Source organism: Homo sapiens, chromosome 10 (genome assembly GCF_000001405.40).
Source record: "Homo sapiens chromosome 10, GRCh38.p14 Primary Assembly".
Taxonomy (NCBI): Eukaryota; Metazoa; Chordata; class Mammalia; order Primates; family Hominidae; genus Homo; species Homo sapiens.
The window spans coordinates 19141897-19162620 of record NC_000010.11 but is presented as its reverse complement, the minus strand read 5'-3'; the positions used below and the strand labels follow the sequence as shown (position 1 = coordinate 19162620).

The window sequence follows — 20724 nt, the reverse complement described above, 5'->3', positions numbered from 1 at the left end:
ATGATATCTCATTGTGGTTTTGATTTGAATTTCTCTAATGATCAATTTTAAGTTATTGATACAAGCTGTAACTTCACATAAGCAGTACTCAAGTATGGAAACTCTGTGCCTCTCAACCTGGTACATGCCAGTAGCAGAACACTAAACCTTAAACTCCAAATCATGAAACGTGTCATAAATTCCTCACAGAACTTATTATAGTAATTTGTATTTTCTAAGTATTCAGTTAATTGCATTAAAGAAAAGAAGAAAGAAATGAGTAGACTGTCAGTAAATGCTTATAAACATTCAGAAATATATAGAGAGAAAGTAACAGAGAGAGAGAGAGAGGAAAGAGAGGAAGAAAGATAATCTATTCTACGTCAAAAAAATGTATAAGGCATTACAGGTCCTTAGGGACCTTTGAGTCTTTTGGAGGAAGAGTGGCAAAAGAAAATGAACATTTAATTATAATGAGCATAACTACAAAATCGTGAAAATAGTGTGGCTGTTTTATTTAAATTAATTAAAATTAAACAAAGTGAAAAATTCATTTCCTCAGTTATGGTTTTGTTTTTGTTGTTGTTGTTGTTGTTGCTGTTGTTGTTGTTCTTGAGACAGAGTTTCACTCTGTTGCCCAGGCTGGAGTGCAGTGGCGTGATCACGGCTCACTGCAGCCTCCACTTCCTGGGTTCAAGTGATTCTCCTGCCTCAGCCTCCAGAGTAGCTGGGACTACAGGCACGTGCTACCACGCCCAGCTAATTTTTGTATTTTTAGTAGCAATGGGGTTTTACCATGTTGGCCAGGATGATCTCGATCTCCTGACCTCGTGATCCACCTGCCTCAGCCTTCCAAAGTGCTGGGATTACAGGCCAGAGCCACTGCGCCTGGCCTCTCAGTTGTTTTAAATGCTCAATAGCTCTATGTAGCTAGTAGCTACTATACTTAACATAGGGAACATTGTCCATCATCCCAGAATGTTGCATTAAACAGGTCTGCAAAGCATGTAAGTGAAAATTACAACAAACATTCAAATTTTATTTACTACTTGATCATTTTTAAAGGAAATTTTCTTTTTTTTTTTTTTTTTGCTTTTTTTTTCTTTATTTTTATTATATTTATTTATTTATTTTTTTTATTATACTCTAAGTTTTAGGGTACATGTGCACAATGTGCAGGTTAGTTACATATGTATACATGTGCCACGCTGGTGCGCTGCACCCACTACTGTGTCATCTAGCATTAGGTATATCTCCCAATGCTATCCCTCCCCCCTCCCCCGACCCCACCACAGTCCCCAGAGTGTGATATTCCCCTTCCTGTGTCCATGTGATCTCATTGTTCAATTCCCACCTATGAGTGAGAATATGTGGTGTTTGGTTTTTTGTTCTTGCGATAGTTTACTGAGAATGATGGTTTCCAATTTCATCCATGTCCCTACAAAGGATATGAACTCATCATTTTTTATGGCTGCATAGTATTCCATGGTGTATATGTGCCACATTTTCTTAATCCAGTCTATCATTGTTGGACATTTGGGTTGGTTCCAAGTCTTTGCTATTGTGAATAGTGCCGCAATAAACATACGTGTGCATGTGTCTTTATAGCAGCATGATTTATACTCATTTGGGTATATACCCAGTAATGGGATGGCTGGGTCAAATCAGAGCAGAACTGAAGGAAATAGAGACACAAAAAACCCTTCAAAAAATCAATGAATCCAGGAGCTGGTTTTTTGAAAGGATCAACAAAATTGATAGACCGCTAGCAAGACTAATAAAGAAAAAAAGAGAGAAGAATCAAATAGACACAATAAAAAATGATAAAGGGGATATCACCACCGATCCCACAGAAATACAAACTACCATCAGAGAATACTACAAACACCTCTACGCAAATAAACTAGAAAATCTAGAAGAAATGGATACATTCCTCGACACATACACTCTCCCAAGACTAAACCAGGAAGAAGTTGAATCTCTGAATAGACCAATAACAGGCTCTGAAATTGTGGCAATAATCAATAGTTTACCAACCAAAAAGAGTCCAGGACCAGATGGATTCACAGCCGAATTCTACCAGAGGTACAAGGAGGAACTGGTACCATTCCTTCTGAAACTATTCCAATCAATAGAAAAAGAGGGAATCCTCCCTAACTCATTTTATGAGGCCAGCATCATTCTGATACCAAAGCCGGGCAGAGACACAACCAAAAAAGAGAATTTTAGACCAATATCCTTGATGAACATTGATGCAAAAATCCTCAATAAAATACTGGCAAACCGAATCCAGCAGCACATCAAAAAGCTTATCCACCATGATCAAGTGGGCTTCATCCCTGGGATGCAAGGCTGGTTCAATATACGCAAATCAATAAATGTAATCCAGCATATAAACAGAGCCAAAGACAAAAACCACATGATTATCTCAATAGATGCAGAAAAAGCCTTTGACAAAATTCAAGGAAATTTTCTTGACGCATGCCTGCTTCATTCAAAACAAGTTAAGTAAAATGTTAATAAAAAGGGCTTGCTTTTATTTTTCTTGGGTCTCCACTAAGGCAGATTTTATATATAGTATGACTATTCATGACTTTGAATCACTGCATTCAAGAGAATTTCATGTGGTTAAAAAAGTTTCCAACAAACAGTTCTTTTTGAATATTGAAGATAAAAATGGAAGCTCCAATTATTTCATTTTTAATTGTATTCTTATGATTTTAAATTATTTCTATTTTTAAAAAATATATATGTATACATTAAATCATATATTTTACTACCAAAGGAAATAACATCTGGTGATTTACACCAGTTACTGCATATGGATGAGTACCTAAGCTGGAGAGGGGGTGACAGTCTTAGTTCCATTGGCTCTCGTGTCTGTACAGTGCCTCTGGGACCTTGGGCTCTCTGATACTTCAGTCTGGGACACCCAAGGTCATGATTCAGAAGTTCAAAATGAATTCTTCCTTATTTTTCTGTTTTCTTTCTTTCTTTTTTTTTTAATTTTGATCATCTCCTGTTGAAACCCTCCTCTTCAAATTTTCTGCCAATTTTCTCAACTTCCCTGTGGACTTCGTTCTAATTCCTTCTCAATCTCAGAGCTCCTTGGTCAAATCTTCATGGCCATTCTCGATTTTACTCCAAACCCTCAGCCACCTCTGCCTTCTCTGCTTCACATCAGACCCTTTATGCCTTCCTCAGTCTGCTTATTGCCACACTTGCTGCACCTTTATAAGATCTAGAATACGAAGATACAGAAGGATAAGAATAGCCAAAAAAACAAAATAAATAAATGGGAGAAAAGAAAAAAAACAAGCTAAGATATCTATAGCTCCTCAAAATTCAGCTGGGAATAAGTATATATTGAAAGAGGGGATCATTCATCACATACATAAACACACAGACACACACACACATCCCTCACCATTACCATAGTGATTTTTATGGCTCCTAGTCAGTTATGCTTTTTCCTGGGCATTCTTTTCCTGAACAAGCTTATGCTGAGGGTTAGAATCTTCAATAAAACCGAATCTGTTTTTCCGGTTTAAATGATTAATCTTTATGTGCTTTGATATACAGATTGGAGAGAGCACCTGCTCGCCCTTTCCTCTGTAGACTGTTGCTTCCTCTAGAATCCATCAGCTATTCTAACATTGATCTTTGGATTAAACACAATGACCAGGGAATAGAGCACAACTGCACCATTGCAGGACATGATCCAAAATTACTTTTTTTCTAAATTGTTCTTTGACTCCAGTTCATTGTCCTACTTTGGGGACATTGTAAGACATGGCCTTTTAAAACTCTTTGAGAGAGATTTGTAGAGTGTTATTATTATACTGGACTCACCCTCTTGTAGCTTGCAGCATTTTACACTGAATTGCTGTCAGTATCCCCCACTAAACAACATTTTGTTAGAGCAAGCATGTGTTTAGGTTGTTGTCATTATATTCCCTGCATCGAGGACTGTGATCAACACACAGTAGATAAGCAATATATATGTGTTGCATCGTAGGTATAATGTTTACTTTGGTAATATAGCAAGCACTTGGGAGAAGTCTCAGAAGAACTATTTTCAGTTTTGTTTATTTCTCTTTACTTCCTTGAATCTGAACCACATGTGGCCCTCTCTGCATTGGCAGACTCAAATATGTAGGCTGGCCCTCATAAACTTTACTTTGGGATCCAACCTATCTCTGGTTTCAACTACCTTTGTCCTGACCTTCTCATTCATATTTGTAAAACAATCTATGAATTATCTTTTACTGAAGGAATATTAATGTAATTGCAAAACAAGTTGGAGAATTAAAAACAAAAGAAAGATCAATAGATGAACATACAAACTAACTTTGAAAGCAAAAGCTTCATATTATCCATCTTCCTGTATTTAATTGTGAAGTCCTAAAAGTAAGAGATTGTGTTACTTACACAGTAACTCAAATATGAAAACTCAGAAAATATTAGTACCCACATTAATCCCCTTCATACTTTACATTTCCTAGTTAATTGTAAACAGTAACAGCATTTCAACAGCAGTAAGATAGAATAGCTTTGGGCTCCCTCGTGTTCTGTTTGTCCTATCTTGTATTTCAAAGAAAAATGCCAATTTTCCACTAGTGGCTGAAAGGACTTTTGAAGCATAAATTAAAGTCTGCATCTTGAACAATGATTAGCTGCAGGAACAATTGTCCATGCTGATGCCATGTGTTGGCCACATATAAAGTACAAGGTAATCCATGCAAAATGGCCCTAAAATCGTGCTGTTAGAAATGGCAACTCACGAGAAAGCTCAAGTTGCTTTAAAGTCCTTTCAAAAAAACAAAAACTTCTTAACTGTATTAGTCTGCTAGGATTATGTAGGAAAAAAAAACCATATAATTTCAGAAAATGAAGGCTTTAATCATATCAAAGTACCCCACACTGGTTATCTCACTGCTTGACTCTACTACCTTATAATGAAGAACATTGGTTCCATGAAAGCACTATTATCAATACGTTCCAATTCGGAGGATTGGCTAGATTTTCCAGTTACCCAAGAAGGTAAGAATTCGTTCTGTTTGCTTATTCTGTAACTTTTATGTAAGAAAATATCGACTGGGTGCGGTGGCTCACGCCTGTAATCCCAGCACTTTGGGAGGCCAAGGTGGGTGAATCACGAGGTCAGGAGATCGAGACCATCCTGGATAACATGGTGAAACCCCGACTCCACTAAAAATACAAAAAAATTAGCCGGGAGTGGTGTGGGCACCTGTAGTCCCAGCTACTCAGGAGGCTGAGGCAGGAGCTTGCAGTGAGCCCAGATTGCGCCACTGCACTCCAGCCTGGGCGACAGAGTGAGATTCTGTCTCAGGAAAAAAAAAAAAAAAGGAAAGAAAGAAAAAGAAAATATCACATATTGCCACAAACTTATTAAAAAAATTCATATTATAGTCTTAGAAAAATCCTGAGAACCTTAGCTATGTGTATCTCAGACTATCAATAACATTCTCCTACAGTCTACTCCTACTTCCTAAACTGGAAAGCATTACAAAGTAACTCAAATATCCTTCCTGCTAACTCAAAGACTCCTAAAATAGAGAAAAGCGTGAAAAACAAATATCTCTTCTGGCAGTCTGCAGTGGCTCCTTGAAACAGTCTCAGTTTTTCAAAAACCAAGGCAAACCATTAAGTCAGTATCCATAGCCTTTAGAGATCGAAGCCTTGGTTTTGAGATAAACTACCAAGCACCCAAAATGTCCATGACAGCATTTTCACTGAGACCCCACCTAAATAACACCCCAACCCCAACTAAGTTACCAATTTAAGCAAAAATTAAGTGTCCTCAAGTGGAAACAATGATAAACTGAAACTCAATCCCAGTGACCACAAATCAATGGCTATCAGGAAGCATACAATGATGGGAAAGGTAGATTACCTTTTAAAATCATATACATGCATATGATTTCTCAGTGACTCTAGGTGAGTCATAGGAATTTCTAATACACTCTTAATATCTTCAAATTTCTGTAAAGCAGACAGAATTAACACATCATATTCCTTTACATTCAATTTTTTCTATATATCTAACATTTGTGATCTCATCACTTTAATGTATGACCTTGAATTAAATCTAAGTTAGCTTGTACTTTCAAAGAATAAGTGCTTCTGGAGTTTCCCCTCAAAAAAAAAAAAAAAAACGCTCTATATCTATCTTTCTCTTTTTCTGTCTATCTTATAGGATTTAATGAAAATAAAGAGGTGGGAATGGGTAAAAGGCATTTGGATAAAATGGAAATGGAGACCAGGCATTTGCTTTAATTCTTATTCTCACAAAGAAATGGGAAGAAAAAAAAAAACAAAAGAAAGGAAAAGAAAGTATCTTTAGGACTTTAAAAGAAAGTATCTATGGACACCATTATTAAGAACTCAGGGCACTCCCACTTAGACTTATACCAAACTGAAAGTATAATTAGGTTTATACCTCGGAATAATATGTCATTTATCACCAGGAATGCCCGAGTAAACTGCTCTAACACTACACTTACAGGCAATGAATTTACTGTGTGGCACTACTGATCTCTTCATTATTTTCTGATAAGTAAAGACGAAAAATTAGCTGAAATCCTAAGGGCCGAGAGGCATGTTGGAGCTCTCAAAAGGACTGAAAATAAGACAAGCTGAATACAGACCTCTGATTTAGGTGTTACTTTTATGGAAAGCAAAGGAATTATGTTTACTGAATTAACATTATATTTGGTACATATATACCAATGTTTGATACAAACATTGTTTACCTACTATGTACCAAATATTTTGCCAGGTGCTTTATTTAATCACATTTTAATCCTTGACATTATTCCATATAATCGTGTATGCTTCCAATGTAAATGCTGACATTTAATGCATACAATCATGTATGTTTCTGGTGTAGACACTGCGTCTCAAAAGGAATATACAATTTGTCTGAGCCACAGTTAGAAAGTGGCAAAAGAGACTTGAACCAAGTCTAACTAGTCCGTCCTCTCTAATATGCTGCTGAAATAAAATGGGTATTTCACTCCTTAGTTTGTGTTTGCCTGGCACCAGAGGACTCATTTAAAAAACTCAAATTTCAGTAAATATAATCATTTCCATTTGTCTTTCTTTCAACAAACACTTATTTAACTGACTTTATTTTTCTCAATGTACACTGTTGGCCAAAAATTTTGGCAACACGTATCCACAGCTTTAGATTATTGAAATGACTGTGTGAAAAGAATATAAAACAACAGAAAGCTTTAATAGCCCTCAAAAGAATGGTGCCAGTTATGTGTTACAAATGGTATTCTAGAAGGACGTAGCATTTTGTGTTGAAATAGCGCATGTAAATCTCTTAATTCATCATTAAAGTGCTAGTAAAACATGGCGGGCAATTACTAGCAGAGTAACCCAAGCTCAGCGATTTACAACCGCAGAATGGCCAGTGGAAATTCAGAACAGTTGATTACCTGACATGGGGTAGAGGCAGTGAGCAATTTTGTAAGAACAGGACTTCCAAGCTTGGCCACCCCGGGGGAGCGCTGTGCCTCCAAATAAATAAACGATCCTGAAAAAACAAAGGGAAAGTCATAGGGATGCAAGTTCTCTTACACACTTAGCTGTTCTTTGCTCCACAATCTTATCCTTGCACATGCTAAACTATCAATTAAAGAAAAGTACATTTTTTACATGTTTACTATTATGGTTTGTAGATAACAAATAGCATTTATACCGGTATAACATTAAATACCTAAAATAACATTTAATCAATTAAAACAAGCTCTTGATCCAAATCACCTAAACAAACATTTCTGTTGGCTTCATTTATGTCATAGAGTTTGACATCAAATTAAATGAAGCTTCTAAGCTGACAATTAGATATTCAACAGGCCCTTATGAAATACCCACAAGAGCTTTACTTTTTAGTTTCTTCACAAAGTACCGAAGGATATGAGCTTATGGAATGAATTTTAGTTTCTCCTGGGTCTTACATGTTTGACATTGTTGTCTGTGCTAGAGGGGATTAAAGCTTAATTAAAGATCTAATCTGAACATTAACAAAATCACCGCTTTTAGATTTTAACTACGACGGATGTGCTCATGGCAAATGTGCAGGGGATAACATCTCTCAGCAGCTTAAAAGATCACAGGTTCAGAGCTGCTGTCTGGGGTAGTTTCACTGAATATTGAAGACTTACAAGGAAGGCTATACCCAACAATGTCAAGGTCTGATACTGCCCTTTGATAGTCACAGTGATAGGCAATTTGGAAAACCAACTATTTTCATTGGAAAATACCGTATTCAGAGAGTGATTTTCCTAGATACAAGTCAATGCCGACTGCACACAAAGGAAAGGATTTAGAATTAGAATGTATTATTTTATAGACTCCATCACATGTTTAACCAAACAACCAAGGATGTGAGGCAGCAGTGTCATCTTTGAGTGGGAAAAATAGAACCCAGTTTATATTGTTTTTAAATCTCAAAACCAACTTGGAAAGATAAAGATTACTGTCCCCAAATTCCAAACTACAGGTAATGGAAACAGTGCATGCGAGCAAGTTCATTAAATTCTCTATGCTTCACCTAAAAAGGAAAAGAATGGGAAAAGGTGATTTTGAAAAATTCTTCCACCTAAAAATGCTCAGGTTTAGGTAAAATTCAAATGAATATTTTTAAAAAGATGATCAAAATTCTAAAAACAAATGAACCGATATTCAAAGACCTTACTCCTCCAGTCATTCAAAAGAATATACAAATTTCAAACAAGAGGTTAACGAAGGTGAGAACATGTACACATTAAGACGCCAAAATCTAAATGAAGCAAAAGGCCTGAATAAATCGTTTAGACAACAAAAGTAACTGAAAAAGTAATGAAAAGAAAATCTAGCGAGATATGTACGGTCCCACATCTGAGTTAAATTTAATTTTCTTTTCTTTTTTTTTTTTCCTGAGACAGGGTCTGGCTCTGTCACCTAGGCTAGAGTGCAGTAGCATGATTATGGCTCACTGCTGCCTGGAACTCCTGGGTTCAAACAATCCTCCAACTTCAGCCTCCCACTGGGAGTACAGGAGCACACTACCACATACAGCAAATTTTTAAATTTTTTTGTAGGAGCAGAGTCTCAAACTCCTGGCCTCAAGCAATCCTCCTGCCTTGGCCCTTCAAAGTGCTGGGATTTCAGGCATGAGCCACTGCACCTGGCTCCCTATTTAATTTTTAAAAAACAAATATTTGCAACATTATTTGAGAAACCTCAGATCTTAGAAAAATATGGAGAGCTCCCTGATTCATATTAGGTTGCCAGAATATCTTTAATTTTTAATAAAATGGATGAAAATAGGACAAAATTTAAAACTCTAGAGAGCAATCTCACTTGTGAGCATAGGAACAAATATTCTAATTAAAATGATGTCGAATAAATTTGAAATTGTTATCCAAAAATAGTGTGTCTTGATTAATCTGAGCCTTCCAAGAATGTAGGTTTGGTTTAATTTAGGAGCTCGGTCTCCATATTCAGTTACAACAACAAATGAAAGTGTCAAGTCATAGAATCCTATCTAAATGTTGAAAAGACTATGAAAAACCAGTGAACAATTTCAAGTCACAAATCTTAATAAAATAAAAGGAAATAATTAAATAAAGACTAGTGAACAACCTCAAAATAAATAGCATTCTAAATGGCAAATGATAAAACAATATTAATTAAAATGGGAAATGACATATTTCTGTCACAACTATCAATTAGAGATAATATTAGGCAATATTTATAATCTTAGACTAATATTATCTTAAAGGTCTGGTGAGTGTAGAAGTCAAGGAAATAAAATATCTAGTAGACATTATAGAAAAAGAGAAGTAAATTTCCCATGTTTTACCAATAATATAATTGTAAAAATAGAAAGCCAAAGTATTCCATTTTTTATAATTATAGTATCATTTAGAAAATTTGGTAAGCTAAATGGAAACAGATATATTACACAATTACTTATCTTATCTTAGCAGTAAGTTTCCAGATACATAAACAGCAAGAAATGTCCAACTCCTGATAGCAAAATTAATTTTTTTAATGTAGGAATAAATTTAACAGAAAAGGGACATGATTTATATGAAGAACATTATAAACTTTGTGAAAGACTGCAAACTCTCTGGTTAGATGAAAAGAGATAACATGTTTCTAGATGGAAAGATAATAGAATTAAAATATGAAGTTACTGACCATTGATTTGGAAGCTAAATGCTATCCTATGATAATTTTAACCAAATATTTAGAAAGTTGACAATATTGTGTTAAAATTAATATGTGCAGGTAAGGGGTATAGAGAGTCTAAACTCTGACCACAGGCCCAGGGACTTCTAGGAACACGTCCCTTGATTTATCTTCCTATCAGCCTGCTCTAAACAATGAGCCAAGTTAGAGAAATGTGGAATTTACCAGTTTTATTCCTGGTCATGGCAAGGAGTTTACTTCTGGTAATCAGATTTGTTTATTGTAAAACTCTCACACACCCACATACCCCAGAGTGGCTATGTGACCAGCACAATATAAAAATTAAAGGACAGAGTGAATAGTCTCCCTGGGTTAAAGTGTTCACATCTGGCTCGACCTCACCTTCTGCAAAACAGGTACCTTGTTAATGCACTGGCCTAGAAGTAACACCTTACGTGTCTTAGGAACGTTAGAGGCCAGTCTCTATAACTTTCACAAATGCAAAAGTTATAAACAAGCATTACCATATAGAATAAAGAAATGAATAATAAATAAAATTACTCCAGTTAGGTTTGGTTCAGGAGTGCAAGAGGGGTTTAATATTTAAAAAATCAATTTACCTTATAGACAAAAAAGATAATCTGACAATCATATCATAATAGATGCTGAAAAATACTGAAAACTTTTAACATACATTCAATTTCTTAATTTTTTTAAAAAGCACACTCTTGAATAGAAGGGAACATTTTTATCTGATAAAGAATACAATTTTTCAGTAAGCATGGCACTTAAGGTTCAACTATTGACAGCTTTTCCTCTGAGAGAGAAATAAGACAAGTCTAGCAGCTACCACCAGTTCTATTCAACACATTCTAGAAATTCTGTCCAGTACATAAAACAACAAAAGGAAGATAGAACTGTTAATATTTAGAAAAAAGGAAATAAAATTGCCATTATTTGCAGACAAAATAATTGTGATCCTAGAAAATAAAATATATATGTATAAGTTCCTAGCTATGATAAATAAAATTAGCAAGGCCACTGGATACAAGGTCAATATTTTCTATAAAAATGCACTTCTATATGTCAGCAATAATCAAAATCAGAAGTTCTTTAAAAGTAACACAAAAACCTAGGAAAATATTAGCAAAAGATTTTCAAAATCTCTACCCCGAAAGCTGTAAAATATTACTTAGTAAAATTAAAGAACCCAAATAAATTGAGACATTGGAAACACTTGAAAAAAATATTTTTCAGTGAAATGCAAATAAATATTACATATGAGAAATCATTGTACACCCATTAATTGGAAATTTTTATAGAGAATTATAATGCCTCTTGCTGGTAGGAAAATAGGAAAAAGTAGTCCCATTTTGTCACTAAAAATTGAAGTACTAAAGTTTTAGGGTAAATGAATCTATAAATGTTTATTGAAAATATAAATACATATCTTGCTTAAAAAATATAGAAGTCTCACTCCTAGTTATTATCTATTGCATAAAATCGAAAGTATCCTACAGGAGGAAATGTGTACAAGAATAAATTTGAAACATCGTCATGATATTGATGTCACTGGATAGGGGAACAGCTAGATACATTATGGTATATCCAAATCAAATATATTTAGCTAAATAAACAAACATGAATCCAGTATCACAGACTAGATTTTATCTTCTGTCTTAAACGAGCAAAAGAAAAATATTAGAAAAAAAGCATATTTAGCATGGACTGTCAAATATAGGACAATGGGAATGTAAGATAGTGATAGATCACAGGATAGTGATCTCTGAGAGAGGGGAAACAAATGAGTTAAGTCCTGTAATTCCCACAGCTTACTGCCTAGACAGAGTTTCCAGGTGCCTGTGCAGAGGGGAAACACAGGAGTGTGGTAGTCTCCTCAAGTTGAAACAGATAGAGTCGGTGCTTTGGGGAGACCCACATGGGTAGAATTCATAAGACAGAGTGCCAGCTGCCCCTTTCAGGTACTGGAGCTTTGAAAAGACAGCAAGCTCCCGAAATCTGCAGACAGTCCCCCCTAAATTGCCATGTAAGGACCGATCGTGTGCATGGATTGGAGAAAACTACCTGAGTCTGGGGGTAAAAACACCTGAAATGAATAGCTGGAACATTTCCCGAAGGTCGCAGAAAGTCAGGAATGGTAGAGTTCTATCACCAACCAGAGTGCAAAAAAAACAAAAACAAAAACAAAAACAGACATAGGCATTGGATAGAGAACTCAAACCAAATAAACACTTATGTCCAGACAAAAACACGTATGCAAATTTAATGGTGTTTTTACTCATATTTGACAATATTTGGAAACAATCTAAGTGTCCTTCAGCTGGTTAGTGGATAAATGAAGTGTGGCTCATCCACACAATGGACCCAACTATTCAGCAGTGAAAAAGGAAGGAATTGTGGCTGAAGCCAGCGACATGGATGAGTCTCAAGTCCTTTATGCTAATTGAAAGAAGGCAGAATCAAAATGCTACATATGATATGATTCCATTTTCAAGACATTCTGGAACAGGCATACACTAGGGCTAGAAATCAGATCATTGATGTCAGTGGTGGGAGGTGGGAGAATTATTGAGTACATAATGGCACAGAAAAATGTGTTGGGCAGGAATAGAATTGTTTTATATCTTCATTTTTGTGATGGTTACACAATTGTGTATGTATGTCAGAACTCAGTGAACTGTACACTAAAATGGTTGAATTTTACATTTAACCAATACTTTATCATAAAAAATGAAAAAAATAGATAGTATTTGATGACTTGGAGCAACTGCCATAAGCTATCTTTAGTAAGAAGATAGGGACAATAGTTACAAGATAATATATTTCTTAAAAAACAAACAACCACAGAAACACATATAATTTTGAATATGTATGTATCTACTATATATATATCTGTGTGTGACTATATGAACATAGATAAAAGTGGAACATAATTAACATGAGTTGCCTATTTCGATGGAAATTTAACAGAGTAGGAATAGGAAGGTAGAAACGAAGCAAAAAAGGCAGGAAGGAAATTCGAGGCTTAATTACACACATACACACAAAAACTAGATAATATCAACATATCCAGCCTGGTCAACACGGTGAAACCTCCGGCTCTACTAAAAATACAAAAACAAAAAACCAGCTGGGCGTGGTGGTGTGCACCTGTAGTCCCAGCTACTTGGGAGGAAAAGGCAGGAGAATTGCTTGAACCTGGGAGGTGGAGTTTGCAGTGAGCATGGATCACACCACTGCACTCCAGCCTGAGCAACTAAGTGAGACTCTGTCTCAGCTAGTTAGATAGATAGATAGATAGATAGATAGATAGATAGATAGATAGATAGATGGACAGATAGACAGATTTAAAAGCTGCAATCTATATGTTTAAGGCTCTAAGAACAAAATGAACTAGAACTCCACTTTCTTAGATATCGGAATTATTAGGCTGCCTCTGACTCTACCAGAAATTTCCATTTCACTTTCCTTTCCCTTCCTGGTCCTTTTTCATTTTTTTAAATTCTCCTCCTCACTTGCAATTTAAAACCACTACTGATTCTCTTTAAGGTTTGATCATGGCAATCATGGGTAAAGAGATGTTGACTCCGTGATCCAGATATATATATATATATATATATTTTTTTTTTTTTTTTAATTGGCCCTTTCTAAAATGAGAAAGACTGCGTTTTTGTCCCTCACACTCTGGGTGAGACCAGCTGCCCCTAGTTTTATCAGTCATATTGTTATCTTTCACTATTCTTCATCTCACCGGAAAAGAATGGGTCTTTCAACATCTAACACAGGGGCTCTATTAGAATCTTTTTAATGCAAATCATAGTTATGTAGTAATTATAAGATGGCAAAAGACTAAAGGTGAATTACAAACATATTTTCTAATTGTCTTATCTGGTGTTTTTCCTAGTCTTCTTATTAGAATGGACAACAAATATCTATTAATGTTTATGGAGATCTTACTACATGGAAAAACCTTCACAGGTGTTATTTCATTTAATCCTCATGACAACTCCACAGGGAAGCTACTTTTCTTTTCTCTATTTTCTATCTAATAAAACTGAAGCACCCTAATATTTAGACATGGGTGCAGTGTCAACATCGTGTCGGAACCCTGGGCAGCCCGTGCTCTTCCCTAACTGGTTATGGTATGCTCACATCAGACCACCGTGACACACTGCCCGCACAGCTTCCCTTTGAGAATCACTGCCTTGGCTTAGGCCTTCATCATCTCTCACTGATATTTCTTCAGCACATCCATGTTTTTTTGACTCCAGCCTTTCACCCTCTCCATTCTCCTCATCTCAGACACAACAGCCCTTTAGAGCAAATTTGATTGGTCACATGCTTTAACATGACTACCTGGGTCACCATCATCCTGCAGACACATTTCCAATTCCTCAGCACTCTCTAGAGTCCCCTTCCTTCCTCTCCTGTTTCATCAGTTCTCTTCTCCCTGTCCAATCACACACGTCTTTCATCCCTAACTACTCCCATCTTTCTGCCCTCTTTGGGGATTCTTCCCTCCAATTAGGACATGATCCCTCCCACCTCTCTTTGGTTCCGTCTTCTCTCAGTAATTCCTTACTTCTGGCTTCCTGACTACTTTTCATTTCCCTTCACTGCTCATTTCAGGAGTCATCTCCTTCAACAAGGCATCTCGAATCCATCTGAATCACCTTCCATCCCTCTTAAAGCATCCTTCATAACCGATTGCAATTCCTTGCTTATCTACTTAAGCTACCAGACTGAGACCACCTCAAAGGCAGGGATCGTGGCATCCATCTTTGTGCATCCAGGTATCGTCTATGCTATGTATTTAATAATTGGCTTGAACAGAGAAAAAGAAGTAAAATATTATATGAGTTTAGAGAAAATGTGTTGTTAATACATAGTTACAATGATTTATAGTCCCCTTTCTATTTTAAACTTTAAACTTAACTTTGTCTGCCACAAAATGTTAAAGAAATGAGTCATGGCACAAAAGCAAAAATTAAGAACTTACCACACTGTTAAACAATTAACTAGATTTATGGCTGTAGCCAACAGATGGATGGTTGAATTTTCCCACCCCATCCCCTAGCACTCTCACCCACTACCACCAACCCCAATTTCCAATGGCTGTAATTAAAAATATGATCAATACTTATTTTTGGTATAATTCTTTGGAAGTCTGAAAGAAGAAACAAATAGGATAATGTTCAATGAGGTTGAAAGATGATCTACAGTACAAGTACAATTGTGCTATTGTAAGGTTTGCCAGGTGTGGTGGCTCCCTCTTGTAATCCCAGCACTTTTGGGAGGCTGAGATGAGAGGATTGCTTGAGGCCAGGAGTTTGAGATCAACCTGGGCAACATGGCGAGACACTCTTTACTTAAAATATATACATTTAAAAAGTAAAGTTAAGACGATGCTAACGTATATGGGGAATGACATCCGATGACAAATGTGAACAAAACAAAAGAAAAAAGAGAACAAACCCTTTCTGTTTTATTGGAGTTTCACAGACACTTATTGGAAAACCACAGGTAGTTATGGTTCCTCTATTTTAAGATGATATGTAAACACTGGAATGATGGTTAAAAATATATATGTGGAAGAATAAGACTGTTTATTATAAAGAAGCCCGAAGACTGATTAAATTGCATTCAAGTATTTGTAAATTTATTTCACAGATAGTGCTAAATCTCTGTTCTCAGTTCCCAGAAACAAGATTAGACTATTTTTCTTCCTGTTTTGAAAAAATTGGATTGCTCTAAAAAGAAGGCAAGCCTACTGTACTTGATTCTGGGCAACTTGAGAAAATGATCAGAAAACTTTTCCACCTCTTTATGCCTTTAACCCAACTCATAAAAAGTGCAACAACAAACATGTTGGTGATTAAAACAATGCTCCTTTCAGGGAACTCAATTACCCGCCAATTATTAACTTGGTCAGGAGGTTTTAAAGCAAGACAAACCAGAGTTCCATGTATACAGTCTACAGAATAGAAATGAAAATACACAGTATCATCATTCCACAACATGCAAGAAAGAAAACTATTTTTTTTTAAAGAGGAAAATGTCCTACCATGATTTATGTTTGCTGTGTGATCAGCTGCAGGAAAGTGGTGCTCTCCATTATTCAATCCTTTCATCAGCTTCCAGTGTGAATCTTCTGTGAGAAATGGCTCCCAACCGCAGAAACCCGACTCAAAGTCACAGGTGAGATGCTTTGCTGTTACACGTAGAAGAGAAAACAGGTGAGGAGAAATGAAGAGCATGCAGGCAAACACTGCTCTACGCTAGCTAATCATCTTAGGAGGCCTGCAAAATTATTCTGCTTGGTAGTGAATATTCTCTAATGATCGGAATAGCTTTCCTTTATCTAGTCACACACAATATCTCAGGTGCTGTGTGAGGCATGACCCTTCCACATGCTTCCATCTGTAAGTCTGGTACATTTCATTCTGGTTGGCCATCTCCATTTTATTTAATGATGCAAGGTGGAACTCCAAAGCTTCTCAGGGAGTAACTAATTTGCTTGCCCAGTATAAACCTGCTGAGATGGTAGTTTAAATGAAAAAAATCCACTGGGAAGGGGGAAGTTTAAATTAATTCTGGACACACAAATAACTTGAGATCAGCATCTCAGTATGCATTTTATTATTCTATCCTAACACTTTCTCAAAAAAAAAATACCTAGCCATTTTGGAATTGCAGGTAAATTAGATATTCGGAACTGAGCTGGTGTTATCTTTTGTCTTTTTTTTTTTTTTTTTAAGGCAGAGTCTCGCTCTGTCACCCAGGCTGGAGTGCAGTGGCGCAGTCTCAGTTCAATGTCTGAATGCAATCTCCACCTCCTGGGTTCAAGCAATTCTCCTGCCTCAGCCTCCCAAATAGCTGGGATTACAGGCACATGCAACGATGCTCGGATATTTTTTTTTTATTTTTAGGAGAGACAGTGTTTCACTACGTTGGCCAGGCTGGTCTCGAACTCCTGACCTCAAATGATCTGCTCATTTTGGCCTGCCAAAGTGCTGGGTTTACAGGCATGAGCCACTGTGCCCAGCCTGAGCCTGTCTTCTCTTAATACATAACTCAAAAGTTGCCAAGCACTTAATTTCCTCCATTTATCATAAAAGAACTGGTTCTAGAGAAAGTCGGGGTTTGGAGCATACTTTATAGGCACCTTTCACAGCTTTGACACCAAATTTATGAGAGAAAAATAGATGGTTTCATAAGACTGGGCATTCAACTAGAAAGTCTAAGAGCTTGATTTCTGCTTTCGAGAAATTCATTATTATGTGCTTAAATTTCGTTTTCCTAAAATAAGAATCATAGTATCAGACTATCTTAGTACTTTTGGGAATAAATTAATACAATTAATTTAAAAGCTTATTCCTAAATATTCCTCTTTATGCTGAGGCAGTTTTCAAACAGTGGGGAAGAAAAGGAGAATTAAGTTGTCAGAAAACACCCATAGTTTTGACAGGATTCCTAAGATCTTCATGCTATCATCTTTAATAACAATAAAAACAGCCAAACTACCACTGAGTTCCAAGTATGTAGCAGGCATTTTACATATATTAACCTTAATTCTTAACACTCTACATAGTAAATACCATTTCCTAAAAGAGAAAATTGGAACTCAGAACATGAAGCAACTTGCTTGTGGTACATTTTAGTAAATGGAACATCTAGACTTTGAACCTGTCTGACACCAAAAGCTCATATTCCGAAGCCTCCTTAAACCAGGAACTCTGTTTCATAATTAAAAAGACTCCATCACCATGGGTTTGCTTCTGACCATTGTGTTCAACTTGTAAATTTTAATACGGCCAATTTAACCAGCATATCAAATAAGCTCACTATATCTTAATAATCAAAGCATCTTCAAGTCTCTGTAATAGGGACACCTGATTTTATGACCACATATTTTATCACTGACATGTCAACTCTTAAAACATTGAAGTGCGGTATGCAAATGACAATGCCACTTCCGATTTCTCTACATGCAAACTGAACCTTTAGATCTGAAAGCCGTGCTTGTTAGACAGTCATAGAATAGACAGTGGGTCTTCCATATCTGTGGGTTCCTTGTTGCAGATTCAACCAATAGTGGTTCAAAAATATAGTATTAGCAGGATGTGCAACCTGCAGATACAAGAGCTGACTTTTCCCCAGGGCTCAAGTTCTCCAGGGACTTGAGCATCCATAGATTTTGGTACAGCATTTCTTTCATTACAAATGAATATTATTTTTCCCTCTAAATGGATTTCCCTACAAATAAAAAACAAGAAAGTTGACTACAGCATAATAATAAAAACATGTTGCACATCGCCTAATGGTGCACTGCTATGACAGGGAAGTGCAGTTTGCCCATATACCTAGCTGGAAATCTATTGCTCTTGGCTATGTTTTTCTTTTCTTAGGTGTGTCTACATAATTTATAGGATATGGCTCTTGATAAAACATTACTCCCCAGGGGAGAGTGTCTTCTGTTTTCTGACACAATCTTGAGCACTTACAACCTAGCTGTGACTTTCTCCCTGGGCATTTACAGAACCCTCTGGTCTAATCCCTCGGTTCTCTGTGAGCTCTGCCACCTTCTATGCCACCTCCAAAATGTTCTGTCAGTTGGTGGAGTATAGAAATATTTAAGACTCAAAGTACATATTTGGCCTCTGAAATGTGCTTCAAAGTTCCAAATTCTTGGCTGTGGATTTGACGAAGGAATCCTTCCACCTCTCTACAAGGTTACCTCCAATTCCTAGAACACACTTCCCTGGAATACAAAATCTTTCATGAGTAGAGTGACCACATGTCTTGCCTGGCCCAGGGTTGCCTCAATGCATGCCTGTTGTCCTAGTATAATAATTAATACTTCATCTCTTCTTTTCCCTCTCTCAGTCCCTGTTTGGGTAATAAACTCAATATTGCACTGTTAGGGCAGCAAATTATGCATTGCTATACAAGTCCATGCAAACAGCAATGTTCTTCATTCAGATATCTGCTGAAGGCACCATTCTAATTTCCCCAACAAGGCAATGGTGTGAAATGGCAATGAGATCGATGAGTGTGAAAATGGAAAGTACCATATGACTGATGCATCCCACACCCTCACCCAGACTCTTCATAATTGAGCTAGTCGCTCAACCGCAAAGACATAAAGAAAGAAGCTCTCAAGATAAAAGCCACTTTTGATTGTATAAATGTTGAAATTTGGCTTTAGGACAAAAGTTCAAACCATTTCTTTCATTACCTAGATGTTTTATTGGTTAAAAAATGTCAATCATTGTGCTTTTTACAGAATGCTAAACACCACCATCCTTTGAAAAATGAAAATTAGCTTTCAAAATCCGTCACCATAAAGATGTGTGAAAGCAACATGGTGACATGGTGCAACCACCTCTGTAAGAACCTTGGTGAATTGATTGGCTGTTTTTACTAATGTGTTCCTGTACACGTAAAAGAATATTTTTTAAAGCTAAAAGTTCAAGAACTTCACTGTACTGTAAAATATAAATCAAATTCCGGTAACTAAATTGAAGTTCTTCCATTAATATCTCCCCTGTGTAATTCAAAAACTTTAAAGTGAACTTATAAATATCTGAAGAAAGCCGGGAGAGTCAAATGCATTCTGGCAATTATTAAATGTCTTATCATACTATATGTGTTAAATGTAAACATTTGCAAAATCTAAAAAAATCTATTCATGTTATAAATAAAGTACTTTCATTAAAACAATGATTTTGATTACTTAGTTGCCTTTATTTTAACTTTCTGTGATTACAGAATACGCTTCACCATCTCTAAGCGCAGTATGAGATATGGCGCTGTTCACAGTTTTAGAGAAATTTTACTCAGAGTTCATCAGTTAAAGTAATATTTTAAGATTATGACAAAGCTTTCTCTTGCATATTTAACCACTGCAGCATATGGGCAGACAAGAAAGAATTTCATTGTTCAGCTGAGAAAAAATCTGGATCATGAAAAGTAAAATATTTTATGAATCCTCTAGAAGTTAATCAGCTCTCTGTGAAATAAGAAACAAAAAGCTATGTATGGGAAATGAATGGGGAATATTTCATTTAATGAGAATATATTAGATTTTAACAGGATTACATTATAAATATTTTGTTAATATGTATTGGAAACCCACACAGATCATTGCTACACTAAATATTTTTATATTGGTATTTCCTTTCCCTTCATGAAGTGTTTTAGCATTCCACTTTTTTTTTTTTTTTTTTTTTTTTTTGAGTTAGAGTCTCGCTCTGTCGCCCAGGCTGGAGTGCAGTGGTGCAATCTTGGCTCACTGCAAGCTCCGCCTCCCGGGTTCACGCCATTCTCCTGCCTCAGCCTCCCGAGTAGCTGGGACTACAGGCGCCCACCACAACGCCCGGCTAATTTTTTATATTTTTAGTAGAGATGGGGTTTCACTGTGTTAGCAAGGATGGTCTGGATCTCCTGACCTCGTGATCCACCCGCCTCGGCCTCCCAAAATGCTGGGATTACAGGCGTGAGCCACCGCAC

The 20724-nt window shown here is 36.4% G+C and overlaps 1 protein-coding gene and 1 long non-coding RNA gene across 10 annotated transcripts in view, besides 1 other annotated feature; both read right to left on the bottom strand.

Annotated features, from left to right (window-relative positions):
* Positions 1-20724, bottom strand: part of MALRD1 (MAM and LDL receptor class A domain containing 1) — a 687552-nt gene that overhangs the window by 571858 nt on the left and 94970 nt on the right. For 8 of the 9 annotated variants that reach the window (XM_011519453.3, XM_011519455.3, XM_011519454.2 and 5 more), the window contains 2 exons: positions 16277-16423; positions 7449-7546 (listed from right to left, as the gene is read on the bottom strand). In XM_011519453.3, the coding sequence (XP_011517755.1) occupies positions 7449-7546; positions 16277-16423 (245 nt within the window). Of the gene's footprint in view, positions 1-7448; positions 7547-16276; positions 16424-20724 lie in introns of those variants that run through there. The other variant, XM_017016185.1, reaches the window with a different exon arrangement.
* LOC105376441 (uncharacterized) lies at positions 2378-7441 on the bottom strand. Its single transcript, XR_930727.2, has 3 exons — positions 5897-7441; positions 4331-4383; positions 2378-3220 (listed from the first exon to the last, which is right to left on the bottom strand). It is a non-coding gene; the product is annotated as an uncharacterized LOC105376441 (long non-coding RNA).
* Positions 17169-17364: a silencer, noted in NCBI's record as "fragment chr10:19434186-19434381 (GRCh37/hg19 assembly coordinates)". NCBI's record gives its function as "represses an EF-1alpha promoter that drives an FKBP-Casp9 reporter gene in an ReSE screen in K562 erythroleukemia cells {active_cell/tissue: K562}" and the evidence as "EXISTENCE:reporter gene assay evidence [ECO:0000049][PMID:32094911]".